This window comes from Homo sapiens, chromosome 12 (genome assembly GCF_000001405.40).
Source record: "Homo sapiens chromosome 12, GRCh38.p14 Primary Assembly".
Classification (NCBI taxonomy): Eukaryota; Metazoa; Chordata; class Mammalia; order Primates; family Hominidae; genus Homo; species Homo sapiens.
This window is the reverse complement of record NC_000012.12, coordinates 97,260,289-97,283,189: the sequence shown is the minus strand read 5'-3', so window position 1 is coordinate 97,283,189 and position 22,901 is coordinate 97,260,289. Positions and strand designations below refer to the sequence as shown.

The window sequence follows — 22,901 nt, the reverse complement described above, 5'->3', positions numbered from 1 at the left end:
CCCAGCTATTCAGGAGGCTAAGGCAGGAGAATCGCTTGAACCAAGGAGGTGGAGGTTGCTGTGAGCTGAGATCACACCACTGCACCCCAGCCTGGGTGACACAGTGAGACTGTCTCAAAAAAAAAAAAAAAAAAAAAAAAAAAAAGAGCAACTTGAGCTGAATGAAAATGACTCAAGAGGCATGGCATTTTCCAAAACAGAAGTAATCCTTCAGAGGTCTGAACTTTTAATTAAGCATCTACTGGGCACAGGGTAGGGTATTCAAGCTCTGAGACTACAGAGGGGAACACGTGATGTTGGAGTGCTCTTCCCTTGATAAATTGTAGCTTGTCTTTCCATATTCCACACACAGCCATCCTTCCCTTTATAAAATCCTCACCAATCTGTGACATTGACAACATGGTATGATGGCTTTGGAGTTGAACAGACTTAGAATTCAGACTCTGTCACTTTTAAGTGGTGTAACTTTGGGTAAGTAACTTTGCCTCTCTGATTTTCACTTTTCTCAGGTAGAAGTAGGATTAATAATACCTACCTTGAAGGCTTATTGCAAGCTTTAAAAGCAATATATTATATAAAACACCAAGTACAGTACCTGAAAATTAGTAGGTGTTCCATGAATGGTAGCTATCACATGTTGCTGTCAGGTACAGCAAATGATGAGAAAAAGTATTTGAGCTAAGATGTGTCCCTGACACTCCAAGAAAACATGCTGCTATGCTCTACAAGAAACATGGATGCAGCTAAAATGCTAGAAATAAAGCCAAGATGGTGTCCTCCATGATTGAACTAATTGACTAGGTCATTCTGCCATGATCTAACATGGCAGAATGCATAATTGACCCCAGTTCTTTTCCCGACACTGCATTTGCCTTTCAGCCATGACCTCATAGTGAATAGTTACTTCCCTGCTTCTTGAAGTTGGGCCTAATTATGTGACTTTCTTTGGCCAGTTGGAATCTGGTAGATATAATGCAACTTCTGCTTGGGCTTGAATTGTGCTTGCATGGCTGGATGTGCCCTCTTGTATTTCTGTCATCTCCATGGGAAGAAAAAGCCTTGATTAGCCCACAGGTCCCAATAAGAGCATAAGAGATGCGTGAACCAGAGCCACCTAGCCAACCTCCAAACTCACACATGAGAATATTGTTTAAACCACTGAGTTTTGGCCAGTTTGACAATAGCAAACCTATACACCTATTAACCTGTGAGAGATACTGCTGAACATATTCTTGCTTTGGGCAGAAATGTTGACCAAATGACTTCAAGGTTATTACCAACTACAAGATTTTATAATTTTCATTTTTATTCATCCATCTCGTAGGTACCTTGAGGAATATAAACAGACTATTTCACATCTCTACCTCTGAAAAGCCACACTCTAGTAATATGGACCAGGGGTCAGCAAACCTTTTCGGTTATGGGCCATATAGGAAATTTTTAGGCTTTGCAGGCCAGTCTTTGTCACACTGCTCTACCACTGAAGCGCAAAAGCAGCTATAGACAATACCTAAATAAATAGGTGTATCTGTGTCTCAATAAAACTTTATTTATGAAAACAAGCAAAGGGCCAAATTTGCTCTGAAAGTTTTAGTGTATGGGCCACCGGTATACACAAAACTGATACACAGGAAGCAATTTCAGAGCAATGTATGATGTCATAATTAGCATTTTTAAGGCAAAAACTGCAATAACTTTTGCACCAACCAAATACATTTTGTTTACTTTAGTACTTACAAGGTAATATGTGCCAGACACTATTCTAGGACTTACAGATATTTACTTAGTCCTCATAATAACTCAGTAGGTCTTACTGTCCACATTTTACAGATGATATAACTAAGGCACAGACAGGTTAATAACTTGCCCTAAATCAAAAGCTGTAAAATGGTGAAGCTAGGTTTTTAACCTTGGAATACAGACTCTAGAACCCTCTCTTTTAACCATTTTGTGATGATGCCTATGGTTACAGAACATAAATAAATATAGCTAACTTTCACTGGGGAGCTTACTATGTGTCAGACATCATGCTGAGTATTTTATATCCCTAATCCCTTTTAATCTTTAATACATGTCTGTGAAACAGATATTATAGCTATTCACTCTTTTGGAGATAAGGATATTGAGCTCAGAGAGATTAATTATCTTGCCTAAGGCCACACAGCAAGTAGGTGGTTTTGCTTCCAGGTGCTCTGCTTCTAGACCTTGTGCTTATAACCATCCAGCTATCTCTTTTTGGAGGAATTAGGGAAGAGCACAGCAGTCAGGTTAATTAAGGAAGGCTTCAGGAGACACAAGGCCTAAGCTGGGCTCTAAGTTTGGGATTTGAATAGCAAAAGGTACACAGCAGGATTTGTCTTATTTGATGCACAAAGTTTTTATTGGCTTTTGTTTTTTCTTCCACATCCTTAAAAATCTGGAGAGTTTATATAAAATCTAGATTTCTAGCATCTAAAAATGCAGAAGATATGTCAAGACTGGACCACACTGTGGCATGGCGGTGTCCAATCACAAGGGCCTCGAGGTGGCCATGCCCTTTAGACCTCGTGTGCCATCTCCAGTTTGTCATGCTCCCCACCATTCCCTATTGCTCACACCCATCTAAATGTGGAGGTAAGGAAGAAAGCATGAGGAAAGGCATGAAAGCAGAGATTAGTATAGCATGTGTGGGTGTGTGGGGCTGTGTGCACACACGTGTGTGTGTGTGTGTGTTTACAGTTCCAGTCAGGAAAGAAAAATAAGACAGAAGCGACGGAAGGCATTGTTCAGGGCACAGTGGGGGAGTTTGGTGGGAGTCTGGAAATTTAATAAAGGATGGACAGTGAATGACTCCCCTCAAGAGTTGCGGTCCTGGGGGTATGGCATTTTTAAAGTTGAATTGGGTAAGAGAGATTATGCAGGGGAGAAACAGGTAGCAAGAAGAGTTGGGAGGACAGGGTAATGACCCACAGAGGAAGCAGTAAGAGCCTTAGACTACGAAAGAGTCCCTATTTCTGCCTGGTTGAGCCAAGAAATATTTAACACCTTGTCTGGCTTTATTTACCTAAGTAGTCCCTGGGATAGCAAACAGAGTGGGAAAAGGTGATGTTTAGGCTAGAGGGCTGATATGGGAAAGAGCTGAGTTTTCACTACTTAACAGATGGGGGAGATTAAACAAGAGAGTGTTGGCAAATAGAGAAATGTCACAAGAGGAGTCTGCAATAACAGCCTCAAGCCACTGGTGTCTCTTTTCTTGTCTTTTCCTTCCGCACAGTCTGCATATAACCACCCACTCCTTGCAATTCCTGGACATTTAATAAAATAATGTATGTGAAAGCAGTTTGCATAGAGCTAGGCACATAGCAGGTGCTCAACAAATACTAGTCTGAATCTGAGTCTGAATCGAGATAGACATTTCAGCTTCCCGATCTGTATTTCTGTCAGGTCTATAAAATGAACTTCAGCTATAATAGATTCAGTACTTAGAGGGTATTACTGCAGCTCCAGAGGAAGGAGACCACTAATGAGGAGAAACTGCGGCAAGAGGAAGAGGATGAAAGAGTAACACATACTTTCATTCCTGCAGGAAATAATTGCCCAGAAATAGCATAAACTTTCCCAAGTTGAAAAAGAATACTGTACTTTAAATTCCCTCTAAAGCACATGATCTAGTGATGGCATTTTCACTTGAGCTGAATCGTTTGGCACAGTAAATACAATTACAACCAAAGTCAATATACTTTTTCTGTCACGCATTTCCTTTCATCAATGGGTTTCAAAGGGTTGGTGTCAGTATGGGGTTGAAATGCTCCTACTCAAAGTATCTAAGTTATGGGAACATGAAAAAGTTCTTCCTCCATGTTAATTTTTGTTAATGGGAACAGTGTGATATAGTAGAAAGAGAACTAATCTAAAAATCAAGGATTCTAATACTAACCCTGCCAGGTATTGTAGACTTTGGGCAAGTCAGTTTGATTCTCTGGAGCTAAGATTCTCCCTCTAAAAAAGGAGGGCATTCAATGAGATCAGTGGTTTCCAAATCTAGCTGAATATTAGAAGCACCTGGGGGAACTTTTAGAGACACAGATTTCTGGGCTTCCAACCTGTTACTCAGGATATCTAGGGATGGAGCCAACATCAAGCCCTTAATGAAAGCCACAATGTCTCAGTGACATACATCCACAAGTATTTAGGTCAGAAGTCTGTGGACTTGCAGACATCCACTCACCTTGCCTGGGCCAGATAGCTTTGCTGGTCTTGGTTGGCTCAACCACATCTAGGGGTCAGCTGGAAGTTGTCTGATGAGAGCTGGATTCTGCAGGAGTAGCTCAGCTTGAATACATATGTATCTTATCCTACTGCAGGGACCAACATGCTAGATTGGGCACATCTTCTCATGGCAACAGCGGAGGTGCAAAAGAGCCAGCTTTAATTCACGAGCTCATTGTATGCCTCTACTACATTATGTCTGTTAACATCCAGTTGGCCAAAACAATGCCTAGGCTAATATTAGAGGGAGGAAGTGTGTTCTTCCCAAGGAAGTTAGCAGAAAGGAGTGAATATTTTTGAAGAATAATCCAATCTATCACAGGATGCCAAAAAAATAGTAATTTTTTTTTATCCCAGGTGACCTGGATACACAGGAATAAATGATCTAAGGTATTTTTGAATTCTAACATCCTAAGATGCTTTAAATTGATAGAGAGACACTGAAATCAGGTGGAGGAGAAGATAATCTGGGTGAAATTAATACTTATCACCATCAACCAAAAGCCTTCATTGATGGCACAGAAGATGAGGGGCCAGTGAGTTGAGAAAAACATGAAAAAGACTAATCTTCCTTCCATAAGCATCTATTCTCTTTCAAGGACTTAATCTGAGCTTCCTCACTTTGTTCCTGGCAAAACCCCTTAGTGAAAAGTTATTATTTTCATCTTTTTTCTTCTTCTTTTAGTTGAAGGATGTGGCACAGAAAGCTGAATCCTCCTGCTTAAGGCACACAGCTCACACAGGGCAGCACTGGTACTCTAATCTGTTTAGGCTCCAGAGTCTCTGCTCCCTTCACTGAACCTACAACAGGGTGTTCTGACTAGGGCCTAAGCCAGTGTGCAGAGGTTAGCTGTTCAAATCCAAACCCCGGGAGACTGACACTGCCTGGAAACCCTGAAATCTCTGTGCTTCCCATCGAAGGGTTTGCATCTTTACATCTCTTGTGGCACTTACTTAGTTTTTTTTTATAACACAGTCACTTACCACCTGAGAGTGTTTGGGCAAGTTGTTTATCTCTCTGTGCCTCAGTTTTCTCTTCTATCAAGTGGGCATAATAGGAACTGCCTCAGAGGGTTGCTCTAAGAAGTAAATGAGTCAATATTCCTGTCACTATATATTGTGTAGATGTACAAAGTCTGGCACATGGTACGTGCTACTTAGGTGTTTGTTAAATAAATAATGGCCTCTTTTGTGCACAGGTCTTGCGTACAGGATATACAGCAGTGGTCCTCAAAGTATGTTCCACAGACCTCATCCCACATCCAGTATATAAGAAACTCTGGGGCTGGGCCCCAGCAATCCATATTTGAACAAGTCCTCCAGGTGATTCTCAGGCCTGCTAAAGTATGTTAAGAATCTTTCTGTCCTCTGGCTCTTATTCCATATCTCAATAAATAAATGTCAAATAAATTAATGGTATTTGACAATTATTGAATCTTCCCATCTATTAGGAATACTCCAGGCACTTTTAACCCTCTCAATCACCATTGGAGGCAGTTGCTATTATTATTCCCAGATGAGGAAACTGAGGAACAGGGTAACAGCTAGTAAACTGGCAGATGTGGGATTTGAACCCTTCCATCTAATGCCAGAACCCATGCTCTTCAACCTCACATGACAGGGCTGAACAAAGTCTATTGAATAAATCAGGAGCAGCTATTACCCACAAAGCTCTGGCTTTCAATACAAACCCACCAACCATGACCACCCACCTGCCACAGGGAAGTTGAGAAGGGTAGACAGCAGTTGCTCTTCTCCAGGATCAGAGATCACTATAGTGTCTCCTGTCTGCTGGGGCCACAGTCTCTGCCTTGCTGGTCACTATTTGCCACCTGCCAAGACCTCCCCAATTGTGCTTGACCCTTCCCTCTGTGGCTGTCTCCCTAGACTCAGTGTCTCTGTGTTTAGACCTCTGATATTCTGGATTCCTCCAGACTTTATTTCTTTGGTTTCTAACTAGACCTGAGTTTTCTACCAGGCCCCTTCCACATGTCTGATCTCTTGTCTGGCCAGCATTGCGCATGCCTGGATGACTGCAGAGAAATTGTTTCCTGACTCCTGAGAAGAACAGCACACTCCTAAACATATTAAGAGTTTCATAAGAGACAGCTCATTTAGCTAATTTTTAAACTGCATTATCAACTCTATTTGTGCCTGCTTCTTAATATGCAGGAAATGGAATCTCCTGGCTCATAGCAAAGAGGCCATCTCTAAAGGGCAGCTGTTGAATCCCTGAATGTGTATTTCTTCAGAGACAGTTATGTGAGATTAACCTTCTCCATCCACTCACTGCCATTTGCTCCGGAGCCATCTCAGCCTTCCCCTGGATTCTGAGCGCTTTGATCAGCCACAACACACATGGTTGCTTGTAAAGCACTCTCACCAAATCCAGGAGTCGGGTGGCGAGTCACAAATGAAACTTTAATCTCACCTGGGATACAGGCCAGCTACGCTAGCAAAAGAATCAGAAAAGAAAGGAGTCGGGCTTAAAAGAGGCACCACCTGCCCTCCCTGGCCCTCAGAAATAGGCCTCAGACCAAGTAGGGAAGACAGACAGAGAATGCCTGTGCACATATGCTGTCAAGAAGGGCTCGCGGATGCCGAGGAAAGCCCAGAGGAGACAGCAGCTGCTTTTGTTTCCTTGGAGGCAGCGCCCAGTAGGGAGTGGGTCAGACAGGAGCCAGGAAGACAATTACTAGAAAGGCATTCCCTGGTGTTCTAATGAGGCAATTAGAGCCACTGAGTTTGAGACTGTAAGAGCAGGACGGGGCTCTGAAGACCCCCCTCGCCCAACCCCCTCATTTTACAGAAGAGGCAACTGAGGCCCAGAGAGGGAGATCCCAGAGTGACAATGCCAATTAGGGCTGGGACTGGGACCCAGGTCTCCAGCCACCACAGTGCCCTGCCTCTGCCAGAATCAAAACCCACCCGCCAGAGGACATGCACTTGAGGTCAGTTGAAGGGGAAAAACAGGCCAGGACAAGAATTGTGTTTTTACTCCGAGCAGCTTGGGTGGGAATTTCTTTCAGGAGGCACAGTCCACGTTCAGGAGGAGACCAACAGCTGAAAAAGAAGTCTGGGGTGGGAGTGGGGAGGGACAGACGAGGGAATGGCAGGGTTGGGGAGTGGCTGTCTCGGCCACCAGGAGGCTGTGACTTTCACCTGCCTGTGTGATGTACAGTGTCATATTCCTACCACCTTATGCAAAGATGTTATTTGTCTCTGCATTTCTATGGAGCCCATCTCCAGTGTTCTCAGGGGATCCTAGGAGGGGAAGAGCCCCAAGATGCCTGGAGTCTGGAATTGCGAACGACCTCCCAGGCTCAGAGGCCACCGAGCCTCACAGGGTTTCCTTAGTTCTTAACAAGTCCAATAAATCTGCTAACAAAGAGTGGAAGAAAGGACCTGAAGAATGCGCCCTGCCTCTGCCCCCCTCCCTGCAGGCCAGTGTCCAGAGTCATGCCGCCTCCGCATGCTCCCCGCTCCTCTGCCACCCGCCCTCCCTGCACGCTTGTCTGCCTGAATTGCCTCTTTGTGTGCCCGTCTCCTGGAGCGGGCTCGGCAATTTGCATCTTTGCTGTTCTCCTTTTAAAAATGACAGAAAAACACTCCGCAGAGTGGAGCTTGCCCAAGCGGAGCTTCTGCTGACAAAAACAGGGGCACAGAAGTCAGCTTGACATTCTGCCAAGTGTGGCCCCTCCTGTCTCCTCCTCCATGCCAAGAAGTAGACTTTAATCAATAAGTTTCTGAGAGGGGGCAGTGAGGAAGAGATTGAAGGAGAAAAAGCACAGATCTTCTCACCGTGCACAATTTAGAAATCATTTCTATGCACAAATTCTTGTGCAGGAGTCATGGAGATCAATGGTAAGCCCTTTGTAGTGGGTTTTCTTTCCTTCTCTTTCTAGCCTTTAAAGGATGAAGGAAGAAGAGAACTATATTTCTTATGAATTATGCACTTTATCATAATTAATTCTTCAACATACCAATGCTCTTATTGTTATAGATGGAGCTGCTGTGAATTAGAGAGGTTAAATATTTCATCCAAGGACACATCTTAGGTACTGAAGATTCAACACCCATATGTTTTTCCATATACCTGTTGCCTCTCTGGCTTTTTAAAGCTGCTATATTTAGAAATACCTAGCAAATATGGTCACTCAAAAGCCTACCTTTCCTTCCAATTAAAAAGATATGCCAAAAGGATCTCTTCTATTTATCTTTTTTACAGAACACACCCTTTAGCACTTTCTGCTGTCAGTTACATGGCTCATTCTCCATTGACAGACAGAATAGAGGAATTCACTGGAAAGGAGAACCACTTCACAGCAACGTTTTACAAGAAGCCTGATGGTGGGATGGAGCCCGTCATTCATATTAATGAGACATGCATGGAAGTGGCAATGAGCATGTGGAGTGTGGCTAAAAGAAATGTGGTTCTTCACTTGGAGCTGATGTGAAACACAGGCAATCTGTTGGCCTGTGAGTCCATTTGATATATTTGTAAGAGTGGCAGTTTCTTCTTCAGGGTTTTCAAGCACCAAGAAAATAATCTCACATAATATAAAACAGATAATCCAAGCTTCAGTAGGGTTCAAGTGGAATCAGGCTCCAACCTCCCGTTTCTAAGTAGCAGTAAGCTCCACCACCCAGTCCACCAATAGCTGGGCTTGGTCTTCATTCACCTTCTGTGAAGTGCATCCACATTTGTACTTGGGAGCAGGAACCCAGGGCATTATGGTGGCTGGGACCTCCATGTGCCGAAAGAGTGAAATGGCCAACACCAGAGGGCCAGGATTGGGTTGGCTATTTCACTCTTTCAGCACATGGAGGTCCCAGTGCTGCATTGGGGTATACCACTGGGGTATCGCCTGACTTGCTTTTCAAGGTCTGTGGGAGATGGTGGAAGGTTCCAAGCAAATCATCACAGCTACCTTCTCAATTGCTGATCCTGTTAAGTGAAATGTAACAGTGCGTGACTAGGCCAGGGCAAACTCTGATAGAACTTGGCACTTCCACATGCAAAATATTTTATATTCAAGTTAATTGATATGGGACCTCCCACTTCCATATCACAGGGTTAAGCTTCCATTTCCAGGCAATGCTCTTGAGATAAGTTTTCTTCTCACGTAGGTGGCTGCCCAGGAGGATGCCCAAAGCTTAAAGGGAGGCAACTCTCATGCTAAAATCTCAGAGCCCTGGATGGAGGGAGTATAACTTGGAAAACATGTATTTCAAAACTTCCTTTGTTTTGCAAGGAGTGGGGGCTATTTTTAAGAGATTTTTATGAGTGTGACAGCAAGTGCCAACCTGCTTTAAAGTTCTGGTATCAATGGGGACCATCAGATTGGAAAGAGGGCATTCTACCTCCCTGTATGGACTGAAGCTCCACTACCCTACCCCAAGAAAAGCCTTTTGGCAAATGTATGGAGATAACAGGCTAGGCAAAGACACTGGATTTTCATGAATTCCTAGCATAGTGCCTGCATATATCAGTACTCAACTAATGTTTGTTGTAAGAATGAATGGTTAGGATTCTCAGCAATGGCAGCTGGGAGCTTTTGTCTCAGGCAGAAGCAAGTAAGTCTGAAAGTGGAAAAAAAGAAAGTGCATAGAGCATAATGAATGCAACTGACAGGCCAGAGAGGAGACCTATGGGAAGCATTCCTTTTTGGGTCTCTAGAAACAACTAGGGGCAATCTGTGTGTACTGGGGAAAGTTGTTCAAGTGTTGAAGACTGTGGCCAGGTGAAATATACACACACGCACACACTCACGTACACACACGTGTACACATACACGCACACATCTTTTTCAAGCTTTAAAGAGTAAATGTTCCTTAGTCCTATCTTTACAAGTTAAATAAGTAAATAAATAAGTACAAGCTCAACCTTGCCCAAAATATAATAGATTTTAAATCCGTGAGGATACCATTTTCTTTAGGAATACTAAGGTACACGATATCAAATTATTAAAAACTATTAAATTTTTTCAAATTATGTCTAGCACCAAAGTGTGAACAACAAATTGAGAATAAAGATTCTAAAGCATCAAACTTGAAAGTAAATAATAATAATTTTTTAAAAAGAAGGTGAAAGCAAAAAGTAAGCTTTCAGTCACTCTGTAAATTATTTTCTTTCATTTCTAGACTGAGAGGAACTTCTTTTAAAAGCCAAGAACAAGAATACCACCCAAAGACATCTGTTCCTCTCATCCTTTAGTGAAGTGCAGATGGAGATTCCTACATGGTTTTGGTAAGAGGAATTGGTCATGCTTATTAGCCTGGGCAGATTTAGGTTTCAAATAATAAGCTAAATTGAGAACTACCAAGAGACCAACATTTGCAAAAGCTGCACTGTAGCCTGAAAAGGGACATGCCAATTTTAGATTAATTAAAAAGGTGATTAAATTGTTCAGATGGCATGTTAATGAGCAATCTGCAGAGTGCTCAGTCAACAACCACACCTCCCAGCCTTAATTACAGGACCCTTATTGAAAAGGATCTGGGCGAGCCCACAAAGGAGCTAGAAGAACATCCATCTTGAATATAATATGAATATGGTCAACCCAGGACAAATCCCATGAAGAAAGATGGTAGTTAAGCTTGTAATATAAATTCTTTCAGAAGAAAGGTAATGCTGATTCTAGCCAGCTTCGAGGCACTGAGATATTAGAATTAATTAGAGATACAACAGATAATGTGCCTTTATATTTCGGACCCAATAGGTTCAAGTGCCTTGTAATATTTTACCAACCCATATTTTTCCCAAGGCCTGGTGACAAAATTAGAAGGCTTAAATGATTGTTTCTGTTACATAAGGTTTACATAAATTTATACGTCAAAACATTGTAATATCTACCACCTAGTTCAGCATTCAAATGCCGGAAAAAGATACTATCTCTGCCAGGATGAGTAATTTTCAAAGTGTGGGCTACATGGGGCCACTTAATGACCCTCAGACTGATCTATAATTGCAACTCCCTGCTTTGGTTCTTTTGGGTGAATTATCCATAAATCCGTAGGCTTTAGGTTATACAAACAGCCAACGTTTATTTTCTAGTAAATTCCTAAACCAATTGTTAATGGTTACTAAAATTTGGCGTTCACGAACTAAAACTAAGAAGCTCCTAGAATTTATTGAGAAATATAATACAATATTCTTCTACAAAGTCTACCTCACGGTGCTTGGCAGGGATGAAAAACTTCTATTGCATATGAGCGCTTGCAGATTACCGGACATCCCACAAAATTCTGGAGGGGTAATTTATTTTCATCGTATCAGAAATTTTCTCGAGTTGGTCATGATTTGAATAGCTACTATTATTCCTTCTGAATTTAAAATTACTATTAGTTTATTTTTACCTTTATCAAGGTTGTTTGTTGTGAGTTGTTTGGTTCTTCTTATACACTGACACGTCTTTATCATGATGCTGTGCTGTGGGCTTTTTTGACTTTTGATAGTTCAATAAATTTCCCCAAACTAGTGTTGCCAGGTCTGGAAAATAACCAGTTAAATATGAATTTACCTAGACAACAAATAATTTTTAATTTATGTTTCAAATATTACATGAGATATGCTTATACTAAAAAAAAATACTTGTTCATTTGAATTAAAATTTAATTGGGTGTCCTGAATTCTACCTGGCAACTGCATTTCAAGCAATGTAATTTATTGAGAAAAGTAAAAAAAAAAAAAAAGTGGTGATACAGAGTTTGTCTTAAGTGCCAGATCAGATAGGTATTGGCTGTCAGAAAAGTTCTGAGACTGTCAAGTCTGGTTCAGTCAGGGAAAAAAAAAAATGACCATGATTGATTAGTGATGTCTGCCGCAGACAAGGCACAAAGAGTCACTGACTTGGGTGCTGAATTTTTGCTATCCCTGCCTTAGTGGCTAAAGTAGAACTATCTTGCAAAGTCCTACTAGCAGCTATCCATTGATTGTGTCACTCCTTTGCTCAAAACCTTAAAATCCTTTAATACCTTCCGTTGCTCTTAGGATAAAGACCAAAGAGAGTTCTTAATGTTGTTTTCAGAGTGCTAGCTCCTGCCAACTGCTTTAGCATAGTCTTTTGCCACGTTCCCTGTCACTTTCTGTGTTCCAGCCTCCCTGGCCTTGGTAAGTGTCTTTCATTGCCTGGAAATCTCTTCATCTTCTTTACTCAAGTATCTTCTGCTCATTCTTTAAATCCCAGCTCCTCAGGTAAGCTTTCTAACACACAGAAAAAATCAAGAATCATTGAACATAGACTCATTGCAACTATACTATCACGAATTATCGCAGTTTGTGATAATTTTTTCGTGTCAATATTTGATTAATGTATTTTTTCCATGACTAAATCATAAAATTCTTGAAGGGAGGGGCAGTCTTGGTTTTATTCACCATTTTATCGCCAGAATCTAGCACAATGTCTTCTGTATACTATGTTTCAATTATATATCTGTTGAATGAATTAATTCATTTAAATAATCCCAAAATGAATGCATGTTTTGGCCTAATGAGTTCAATATTATAAAAAAATCTTAGTTGTCCATTTAAAAGGAAATTAACACTTTTTTCTTTTACAGGCCATAATTACAAACTTATTTAGAGCTCTCCAAATGTAATAAATAAAATGAGCATTATATCTCTCAATAATAATCAGAATAACTCTTTTATTTATACAGTTGTCATCAATACCTTCAAGTGTTTCCTTCAGAAAATCCTTTGGTGGAGAGTTTAATACAGTAGGGAGGAAGCTTTTAGGTATGTATAATATTTCCTTTTCTGTCATTAAATATTAAAACTTTTGTTGGAATGCATTCTAAGCATCATCTTTGGTAAAGATTTTATTCAACTCACCCATCTGCAGTGACTTTGATATGTTAACTTGGCTAGGCTATAGCCCCCAGTTACTCAATCAAATGATAATCCAGCTGTTTCTGTGATGACCTTTTGCAGATGTAATTCAGTCCACAACCAGTTGAATTTGGTAAGTCTAAAAAAAATTCAGGATTTATGTTTGTATATTATGGGTAGGACTGATTCAATCAGTGGGAAGACTCAAAAAGCAGGGCTGAAGCTTGTCCCAAAAAGAAAAGATAGTCTGTCTGTGGATAAAAGCTTTGGCCCATACCTGTTGAGTTTCAGCTTCACAGATTTCAGATTGCTTAGCCAGCCCCCACATTCATGTGAGCCAATTCCTTAAAATAAATCTCCTAATATATATATGAGATTTATTAAATATATATAAGATATATATATGTGTGTATGTATATATATATATATATATATATATATATATACTGGTTCTGCTACTGTGGTTGAGCCCTGACTGACACACACCAGCCAGTGGTGCTCACAAATGGTTTGTCAAGAATATGAAAAAAAAAAAAAAAAAAAAAAGATACTTCAATGAGTAGTACGGAGCTCAGAGCAATGCTGATTGCAGAACTTTTGTAATCCAGGCTCCCCTTGCCTCAGCCCCACCCCAAACCACCTACAAGTGCAAGAAAATCCAAGGTATAACTTTTAAAGTAGACCAACACAAACTTATTTAAAAAAATTATAGGAATAACAATATGGGGAAAAATACAGCTGCTGGTTCTAGAACTCATTTCCAGAAAACCCTTATCTTTGTTGGGAAGAGACTTTGATGAGCCGCCTTAGAGTAGATATGAATTCTGAATGTTGATAGAACTTTTCTTTATGAGGGAAAGGGAACTACTTAGTGGTACTGGAGATGTAACAGAGGGTGACAAGTGGTAGGGGGTGGTAACAAGAAGGCAGACAGTCACATTTTGCTATGATCTGAATGTTCATGTCACCCCCAAATTTGTATTTGGAAATCCTAACCCCAAAGGTGATAGGATTAGGAGATGGGGTTTCTGTAGGTGATTAGATCATGGGGGTGGAGCCCTCATGAATGAGATTAGTGACCTTATCAAAGAAGTTCCAGAGAGCCACCACCTGAGGATGCAGCAAGAAGGCTCCATCTGTGAACTAGGAAAGGAGCCTCTAGCAGATGCTAAATTTATTAGTGTCTTGTTCTTGGACTTCCCAGTCTCCATAGCTGTGAGAAATAAGTTTTTGTTGTTTATAAGAAACCCAGATTATGGCATTTTGTTATAGTTTTCTGAACAGACTAAGACACATCCCCTATGACTGAACCTTTTATTTATTCCCTATCCCATTCCCTGACTCTTTGATAAAGTTACTAAACTCAAGCACAAGTAGACTTTTTAAGAAGCCAAGGAAGAAACTGGACAGCATGCAGTTTGGAATGGCAGCATGAGTGGCCGTGGGAGTGGGTAGGGGGAGAAGAAAGAAAGAGTTCTTCTTTCTTTCTTGCAGAAAGAACTAAGCCCACCCCTTCCATTCCCCTCTCCTCTCCTTCTTCCACCATCACCCCCAGCAAGATAGGGAAGGATGTAAATGCATGCTGAGCCATGGAACTGCGGTCACTGGGAAGCTTATTCAGATCCCCTCTGTGGGATTGGTTAACCTCTAATTACCTAAGTATGATGCCATTGTTTCCTTCTATCACATACTTAGGCATTTCCAGGAAACTGAAGTCTTTACCTAATTGGCCTAGTGTTAAATTGTTGACAGGTCATTGTAAAATCCCTAAGGCAGCAGCCAAATATCAAATTGGCTAATTAGCAACAAAATATTTCAAATATTGTTATAATCTATAGCAGGTTGTCAGAATGGCAAATTCTCCTCTTCCTCAGCATACACATTCAGATTCCACTTTTGTCTTCATGTCCTTTAAAAATAAATATTTACAAGCCACTAAATGTATTTAAAATGTCCTACCTTTGTTGAACCCTTGGAAATTGTTTCCTATTAAGGTTTTCTCATAAGTGTTTACCAAAAGAAGCAAGAAAAGAATGTTCTCTCTTCTAATAGCCATGGCTACACTCACTGGAATTTCTTGAATGCAGCTTCACTTACCTGGTTTCCTCCCCAGCTGTGAATATGGTTCCCTGGAGACAAGGTAAAGGCTGACCAGAAACGCATTCCTATCTGTGATCCGTGGCAGTGTTATTTTTTGGTGCCTGTTCAGTTCAATTCAACTAATATTTATGATCTAGACTCTGTGCTAGGTGATAGCAACATAGAGATGATTAATGTACAGCTTCTGTGTTCTGTGAGTTCAACATCTAAACAATGAAATGCCATTTGTGTGATAGGGGTATAATAGAGGCAGAGAACAGGGGAGAGAGTGGCTGGCTCCATCTGTGGTGGGTGTGAGGTCAGTGAAGATTTCACCCAGGCAGTATGATAAAATGACAGAATTTGAACTCCATCGGTTGGAAATGTAAAAGTTAAGGTGCATCTTAACCAGTATTAAAAGGCTCAGAATGGAATGGACAGAGAAACCTTAAACTAGAGAATTTTAATAGGCAGCTAATTCTCATTAGCAGCTAATTCCACAATCATGAGGAACTGGGAGAGGAAAGGGCACTCAAAAAGAAATGGATAAAGTACACTGTCCTTTCAGTGGTTTATAATTAAAGAATTTCTAACATGGCAAGACATAGCCCTGTAGAGTCAACCTTAGTTCCTGGGGCAGCTAGATGCCTTGAAAGTCAGCATTTTAAAGATGAGTAAGAATCTGGTGTGTGTGTCTTTGAGGAAACAGCATTCCTGTCTTGTTCTCTGACCTAGACCAGTGCTATTGTATCTAGTGCCTTTGTTCTCAGTTGCATTCTCATCACCTTCATATAGAAGGTGCTCAATAAATTATGATAATGAAAGCTATCATCTCTTGAGCTCAGATTTCATTGTATCAGGTTTGCTCTCTCATGGAGATTAACAAATCTGGCTAAGTAAAAAATCTTGAACTAGGAATGTCACAGAAAACTTACATTCCTAGAACTTATGTTCAACATGCAAGTACACACTCTCCTTGGGGCACTTCATTCTTGTCATGGTTTTAACTACAATATATATGTAGATGACCTCCAAATGCTTACATGCCAAGAAAAACTATTATAGGAACACAACTTATGAGCTCTACTTTTTTTTTAAAGATTTATGGAACATCCAAATGATGAAAATAAATTAATTCCAATGACTATGGTAACACACATTATGTAGGTTTTGCAGGGAGAATTTAATTTTAGCAATATTTTGCTATACATTTTGTTATATAGCATTCATTGAGTTTTTGCTTAGGGCACAGAAATTAGAACCATAAGTCACAAATATTTTGGTATTCTACCAATAGTGGTTTCTCCTCTGTCTCTTTCTCTCTCTCTCTCTGTACGTGTGTGTAACTAGACACATACAAAAAAGTTAAATGACCTAAATCATGTTAGAAACCTTGCAAATCTTGCAATGAAGCACAAACATGACATGATGCAGGCATAAAAAGCATGTTTTACTATGACACCGACCTTGCAAAACAAAATAGTACATTTTGAATGACAAAAGCAGATGAAAATATGTTTAAAGCAGGTCCATTTAGGCTAACATCAATCTATTTACCAACCACCCCTTCTTATAATGGTTTCTCATAGATAGCATCATAGAACTAATAACATAATCTGGAATCCAAATTTAGTAAGGCTATAAATAGCTAATTATTCCAAATTATGGGCTTACAGGGTTATTTGCTCTTTCTAAGGAACCTGTCTTCTAAAAAGCAAAGTTCACAAAGTAGAAAAGTATACATTAATGGAGAGAAAAAAAATAGAGAAAGATAGAAGGAGTTGAGAGGTTAAGTTACTTATCCAGGAACCCACAAGTGGAGAATTATCAAAGCAATATTTAATCCCAGGTCTGCCCATTGAGTATGGGAAGGTGGAAGAAAGTAAAGATACTTTGGAAGTTGGACAGCTTGATATCCCAGGCAGGTAGAAGCCTTAGTTTGGATTATTCCCTTCCTATGCCCTTTTCTTAAAACACAAGAAACATCAAGCACGAGAGCTGATTTGTGTTTCTCATTTTTTTCTTGCCCAATGTCTGACACAGGTACTGCTGAAAAGGAAATAGCTTTGAAACGCAGTTTTATAAAATACCAAATAAAGTTATGACAAGAAAACTGATGATCCACAAGCCAAAAAAATGAGTTCCTGATATGCTATGACCTTTATTGAAAACGTGTTACTTGTTAACACTGGTATTTGCCCAAGTGTGTTGGGGAGGGCGCTAGTTCTAAAGATGGTGTGCATGCATAATACACACACACACACACACACACACACACACGATTTCATCATCAAAAGAGTAAAAGAGTTTGGAAAACGCTTTTGATTATAGCTCCTCCCACACTCCCCTTGGTGGTTCACTAACATTGGAACTTGAGTTTTTAAATTTTTAACCCAAAACTTATTTGACCATGGACCTTTTCACAGCATACATACAATTTTGTTTTTTTGTTTTGTTTTCAAAAAACTTGTTAAATATTATGGAGCTCTTGTGGAGCACCTTAGAAGGCACAGTTACAGCTACATGTGATCACATATCTGGCTGATTTGAGGGATATATAAAGGTCCCTTCTGACCCCTTTTGTAATACCTAAAATCTCAACAGCTCTTAGAGGATGTTAAACTTTTGAGGCCTTTATTAACAAACAAATATTCCAAGAATTAAATATTTAAAGCCAAGAGATACCAACTAGGTAGTGCAGCCAACTGATCAATGGGAATCCCACCTAGACCAATAGGCACCTTGTTGCTGTCCATTTCAAATGGAGAGAAAGGGGTGAGCCTACACTCTGCTGCTATTAGTATATCCAGTCAGTTTCTCCACACTGTTGATTCTTCATCATAAATATTTTCCAATGTATCATTTCCACTAGTACCAGCCTAGCCTAGATTTTTGTCACTCAAGCCACTCTCTTCTAAGCCCTCTTTTTATTATCTAACATGCACATACCCACCAGACAGATCTTCCCCAAATACATTTATCCTTTGCTGAAGAATCGAGAATAGTTCTCCATTGCCCATCAAGTCACCATCTTCAGCCCAGCATTCAATACCCTCCAAAAGCCATATCCATCTAATGTTACTTTTTTTTTTTCCAAGACAGAGTCTCACTCTGTCACCCAGGCTGGAGTGCAGTGGTGTGATCTCAGCTTACTGCATCCTCCACCTCCCGGGTTCAAGCAATTCTCCTGCATCAGCCTCCCGAGTAGCCAGGACTACAGACACATACTACCACGCCTGGCTAATTTTTTGTATTTTTAGTACAGACAGGGTTTCACCATGTTGGCTAGGCTGGTTTTGAACTCCTGACCTCAAGTGATCTGCCTGCCTCGGCCTCCCAAAGTGCTGGGATTACAGGCACGAGCCACTGCGCTGTCTAGCCTGTAATGTTACTTTTTATTGCTCTCCATTCCCTTCACTGAAGCCTCTTCAGTCTTTTCTATGAGTTCCAGGCTCTTCCTCTTCTTTTATTTTGTTTATATTCTCCTTCCTTTTTCACTTCTCATCCTACCCTCACTCATCTTTCAAGTTCTACTTCCCCTGAGGCTTTTAGTAACTTCACCCAACATTGCTCCCTCTCTCTCTCTTTTCTGTACCAGTTAAGGGTGTTATTAAATGTAGTTAGAACTTCATTGTATAATTTTATTTTGTTCCCTGTTACAATTGTGTATGTTTTATACTTCTCTCGCCACCCTTGCTTCTAAATATAAACCTCTTAAGAGAACAAACCTTGTCTTAATCTTAATTTACATTCCCTACCACATTTATCATGTACTGGAAACACAAGACATGCTTCCTCAATTATTGCCTAGAATGAAAACAAAATGATGATTATAAATGGATATAATGCAGTTACTAAAGAAAGCCACATAGGACCTTTCCTTGATAATATTTTATTTGCATTAGTTTTAAGACATTCTCTAAAATAAGCAGCATAATTACATCTTTATACTATTCTACAATTCCAATCTTTCACCATTTCAGACTACCTTTCCTCAAATGATCTTAAAGGCTTCTTTTCTCTAAGAAGGGATGGAAGTGAAGAACTAAGTTTGACTTTGAGGTTTCAAATTCCCAAAGTCTAGGGGTATGTGTAGCATACAGACTCTAAGGCTGCCCCCAATTATCCCTGCCTTTTGATATCCATGCCTTTGTTTACTCCTAGTCCCTTGAATGTTGACAGGACTGGTGATCTGCCTCTAACCAGCAGACTACGGCATTGGGGTGGGATGTCACTTCCATCATTATGTTGCATATGATTGGAACTCTGTCTTGATTCCTGACTCTTTTTTGCCTTCTCTCCTTGCAGGCTTTGAGAAAGCGAGTGGCCATTTTGAAGAGGCCCACATGGCAAAATACTGGTGTGGCCTTCAGCCAACAGTAAGCTAGGAGCTGAGGCCCTCAGTCCCATAGCCCTGAAGACATGGAGTTCTGTCAATAAACAAATGAACTTGGAAGCAGATCCTTCTCCTGTTGAGTCTTCAGATGAGACCCAGCCCTTACTGACAGCCTGGATGGCAGCTCTGTGAGAGATCCTGAAGCAGAGGACCTAGCAAAGCCAGCAAAGTTTCTGACCCAAAGAAACTGTGAGATGATTTGTATTGTCTCCAGCCACTACGTTGTAGTTATTTGTTACACAGCAATGGATAACAAACACAGGATGTTAAAGAAGTATTTTTATGAGACTTTCAATAGCTAACATTAGGATGTAACTGTCAAAAGAATTAACCTTGTAATTCAAATGTTCATTGTGGGCTCTCACTCACCATGGAAGCTCATGCAAAAATGCTGGAGAAATTTAAAATGTCTTATGTGACATCTGGTAGAAGTTTAAAAGTATAGACAACCATCATTAAAAAAAAAACTCATTGTAACTTTGTTTAAAACCTTGGCCCTAGCATTCAAAGATTAAAATCTAAAATAGGCTTGGAATTTGGTCACTTCTTAAGGTCTATGTCAGATATCTCTGTCAAAGCCCACATATTGTAAGAGTTGCTAAAGCTACATACAACACTATGGTGAGCATTTCATGCCTAAGTATGAGAATTGTATTTGATGCATATTAATTGGTAAAATCTATTAGCTAGATACTTAATAAGAGAGAAGACTGAAGGAATTGAGAAACCAGTGAACAGAGATTGCTAATTAAGAAAAAAAAATCTGACTCTTTTATAGGTTTACATCTTGTATTACTACCTAATTGGCTCACTGTTTTGTTTTGTTTTTATTTGGCAGTTGAAAGAGCCTGTAGACATTTTAAATCTCTTCAGAATTTATGATTCATTTGGTGAAACAGTAGCTGCTAGACTTGTGGATGTTAAGAACCAGGAAAAATGAAAATTCAAAAACAAAAATAGGTAGGTGAATGAATAGGTGATTGAATATACTGCCACAGACAGTAAAGTTTATTTTGTCAAGCTAGGACATTAAACTAAAAAAAAAAAATCACTGTATGCTATCATCATTATTTTATAGAGAAAGAACAATTCAACCTCAACAGAAAAATAATAATTTCAAAATTAAAAAACATAACTTTAATTTCAAAAAAGCTTTTTTTTTTTTTTGAGATGGAGTCTCGCTCTTTCACTCAGGCTGGACTGCAGTGGCGCTATCTCGGCTCACTGCAAGCTCTGCCTCCCGGGTTCGCGCCATTCTCCTGCCTCAGCCTCGTGAGTAGCTGGGACTACAGGCACCCACCACCAGGCCTGGCTAATTTTTTGTATTTTTAGTAGAGACGGGGTTTCACTGTGTTAGCCAGGATGGTTTCGATCTCCTGACCTCGTGATCCGCCCTCCTCGGCCTCCCAAAGTGCTGGGATTACAGGTGTGAGCCACCATGACTGGCAATAAAGCTATTCTTAAGAAATATTCACTATGTTGTCCGTATTATTCTCTCTTCTTGGTAGTTCATCACGCCATTTGAAAACCCTGGGCTAAAGGGACATCCCAGTAGAGCACGAGCTAAAAGTCTTTTGACATAAGACTGCCTAGAATATCCCAAGGAAGTCCTATCTCATTTAGGAAATTCAAGGTGAATTATTTCTCTATAAAGTCCAGATGTATCAGTGACACTACCTGAAGATAAGAGTCTATTACCAGAGTCTGTGTGTTTCTTACAGCCTTGTTTTGAAGTATACATTCAGACTTTTAAAAATATAGTGACTATCAGGCTCAGACATTTTAATGAAATTCTTCTGCATTCCCCCCATAGAACAGTCATGGTTTGGACAGAAATGTTGCTAAGATCACTGACCCAGACATATCTTCTCCCAGGAGGGCAGGTTGCTGGGACCCAGAGGGATCACACCACTATGCAGTGGCCATCTTAGGTTAAGTTATGAGGCCCCTGAGGAAATAACCAATCTCTGGAGGCTCCAAACCCAAGCCTAAAATGTCAAGTGATGGCAAATATCACAACCACATTTTACATCCCTCCCTAAAGAACAAAATTAAGCCTTCACAGGACCTGAAAGTCTCCAAAAACCAATAGACTCTTTGGCGAACTCTGACAATGGAATTTCATTATGACTGGATAGATGTCTCAGTATTGGATCTCCAAATATATCAGTGAACGTGAGAATTGTTCAGCCACCAATGTTTACAGTACTTTGAAATATATCATGAAGCTTAATTGGGAAAAGCTCAACCATCCCACGGGCTGAGTTCCTTTTTATTTATTTGGAGGTGGCTGCTCACAGTGCCTATTCACGCTTATAGAAACTTCCGGAACTGTAACTGAAGGATGCATGCAGGCAGCTGCGGTGGAAAAGAGCAGTACCTGAGAGGAATGTCAGAGCTTGAATTAAGCTGATTGGCACACATTAAAATGCAACATAATAGCGTATTTGTCACAGTGGCCCTCTCCTGTAGTTGGCTCATGAGGAATAATGATGGCTTACTGACGAGAAGCAGGGACTCAGCCGCTTGATAACATTGTCGCACTGATGGTTTGAAGAGGCCCCACCGTCGCCTGCTTTTGGCTGCAAACAGCAGCCATTCACTCATTCAGGCAGGGCGCTGACAACAGACCCACAGCCATGCGCAACAATGTCCATTTTGAAAGGCTTAAATAAAGCATTCTCTGCCAAAATTTCCATTGTCATTTTTCTCCCACTGTTTATATAATATGGCCAGGAGTGGGACTGTAAACTAATATTACATTCAAGAGCCTCACACAACAAACACCAAGGCTGTGTTTTCCTGGGAGAGGATTACCAAGCTTCCTACGGAGGCAGGCACGCCATGGCACACACAGCCACCTGCCTTATTAAAGCAGTCCTTTCCCGGGAAAAGAACATTGCCACAGAAAGAATGAATTAATTTGGCATTTCCTTCGGTCTCACTCAGCATGCAGTGTGCTTCCCTAAGCATGAAAACAGCACATCTTCACAGAAACATTTCTAAAATGATGTGCCTACTCATAGAAAAGATCAATTTGAATAGATTCAAACCCCAAGAGGGCAATTCAATACAAAAAGTTTTCAACCAAAGTCAAGACAGATTGTCCAAATAGTTTTCAAGCCCAGCATAGACTGTTCTCTTTGTCCATATTTCAGCTGATAAATCCTTTCTCTCTTTGCCTCTCCCAGTATGTCTACGTATACAGGCACACACATTTATCTGTAGCTCTTCCTATATTGAGAACAAACTTCTTGCTATGTCAGCATAGAGACTATTGCTGTTGAGAGGAGAAAAAAAAATGTGTTCCCTAATATAGGAAATAGAAACAAAAAGTTATTGAAT

General features: G+C 40.4%; 2 long non-coding RNA genes across 2 annotated transcripts, besides 1 other annotated feature; one reads left to right on the top strand and one right to left on the bottom strand.

The window, feature by feature from the left end:
- Positions 7,448 to 8,243: an enhancer, noted in NCBI's record as "H3K4me1 hESC enhancer chr12:97668725-97669520 (GRCh37/hg19 assembly coordinates)". NCBI's record gives its function as "activates a minimal SCP1, AML or CMV promoter by ChIP-STARR-seq in primed H9 embryonic stem cells {active_cell/tissue: H9 hESC(primed)}" and the evidence as "EXISTENCE:reporter gene assay evidence [ECO:0000049][PMID:30033119]".
- Positions 7,866 to 21,026, top strand: LINC02409 (long intergenic non-protein coding RNA 2409). Its single transcript, NR_183610.1, has 6 exons — positions 7,866 to 8,112; positions 8,477 to 8,727; positions 10,393 to 10,498; positions 12,910 to 12,988; positions 15,076 to 15,221; positions 19,469 to 21,026. It is a non-coding gene; the product is annotated as a long intergenic non-protein coding RNA 2409 (long non-coding RNA).
- On the bottom strand, positions 11,634 to 13,389 carry LOC105369930 (uncharacterized). Its single transcript, XR_945255.3, has 3 exons — positions 13,085 to 13,389; positions 12,226 to 12,454; positions 11,634 to 11,740 (listed from the first exon to the last, which is right to left on the bottom strand). It is a non-coding gene; the product is annotated as an uncharacterized LOC105369930 (long non-coding RNA).
- Positions 21,027 to 22,901: the final 1,875 nt, after the last annotated feature.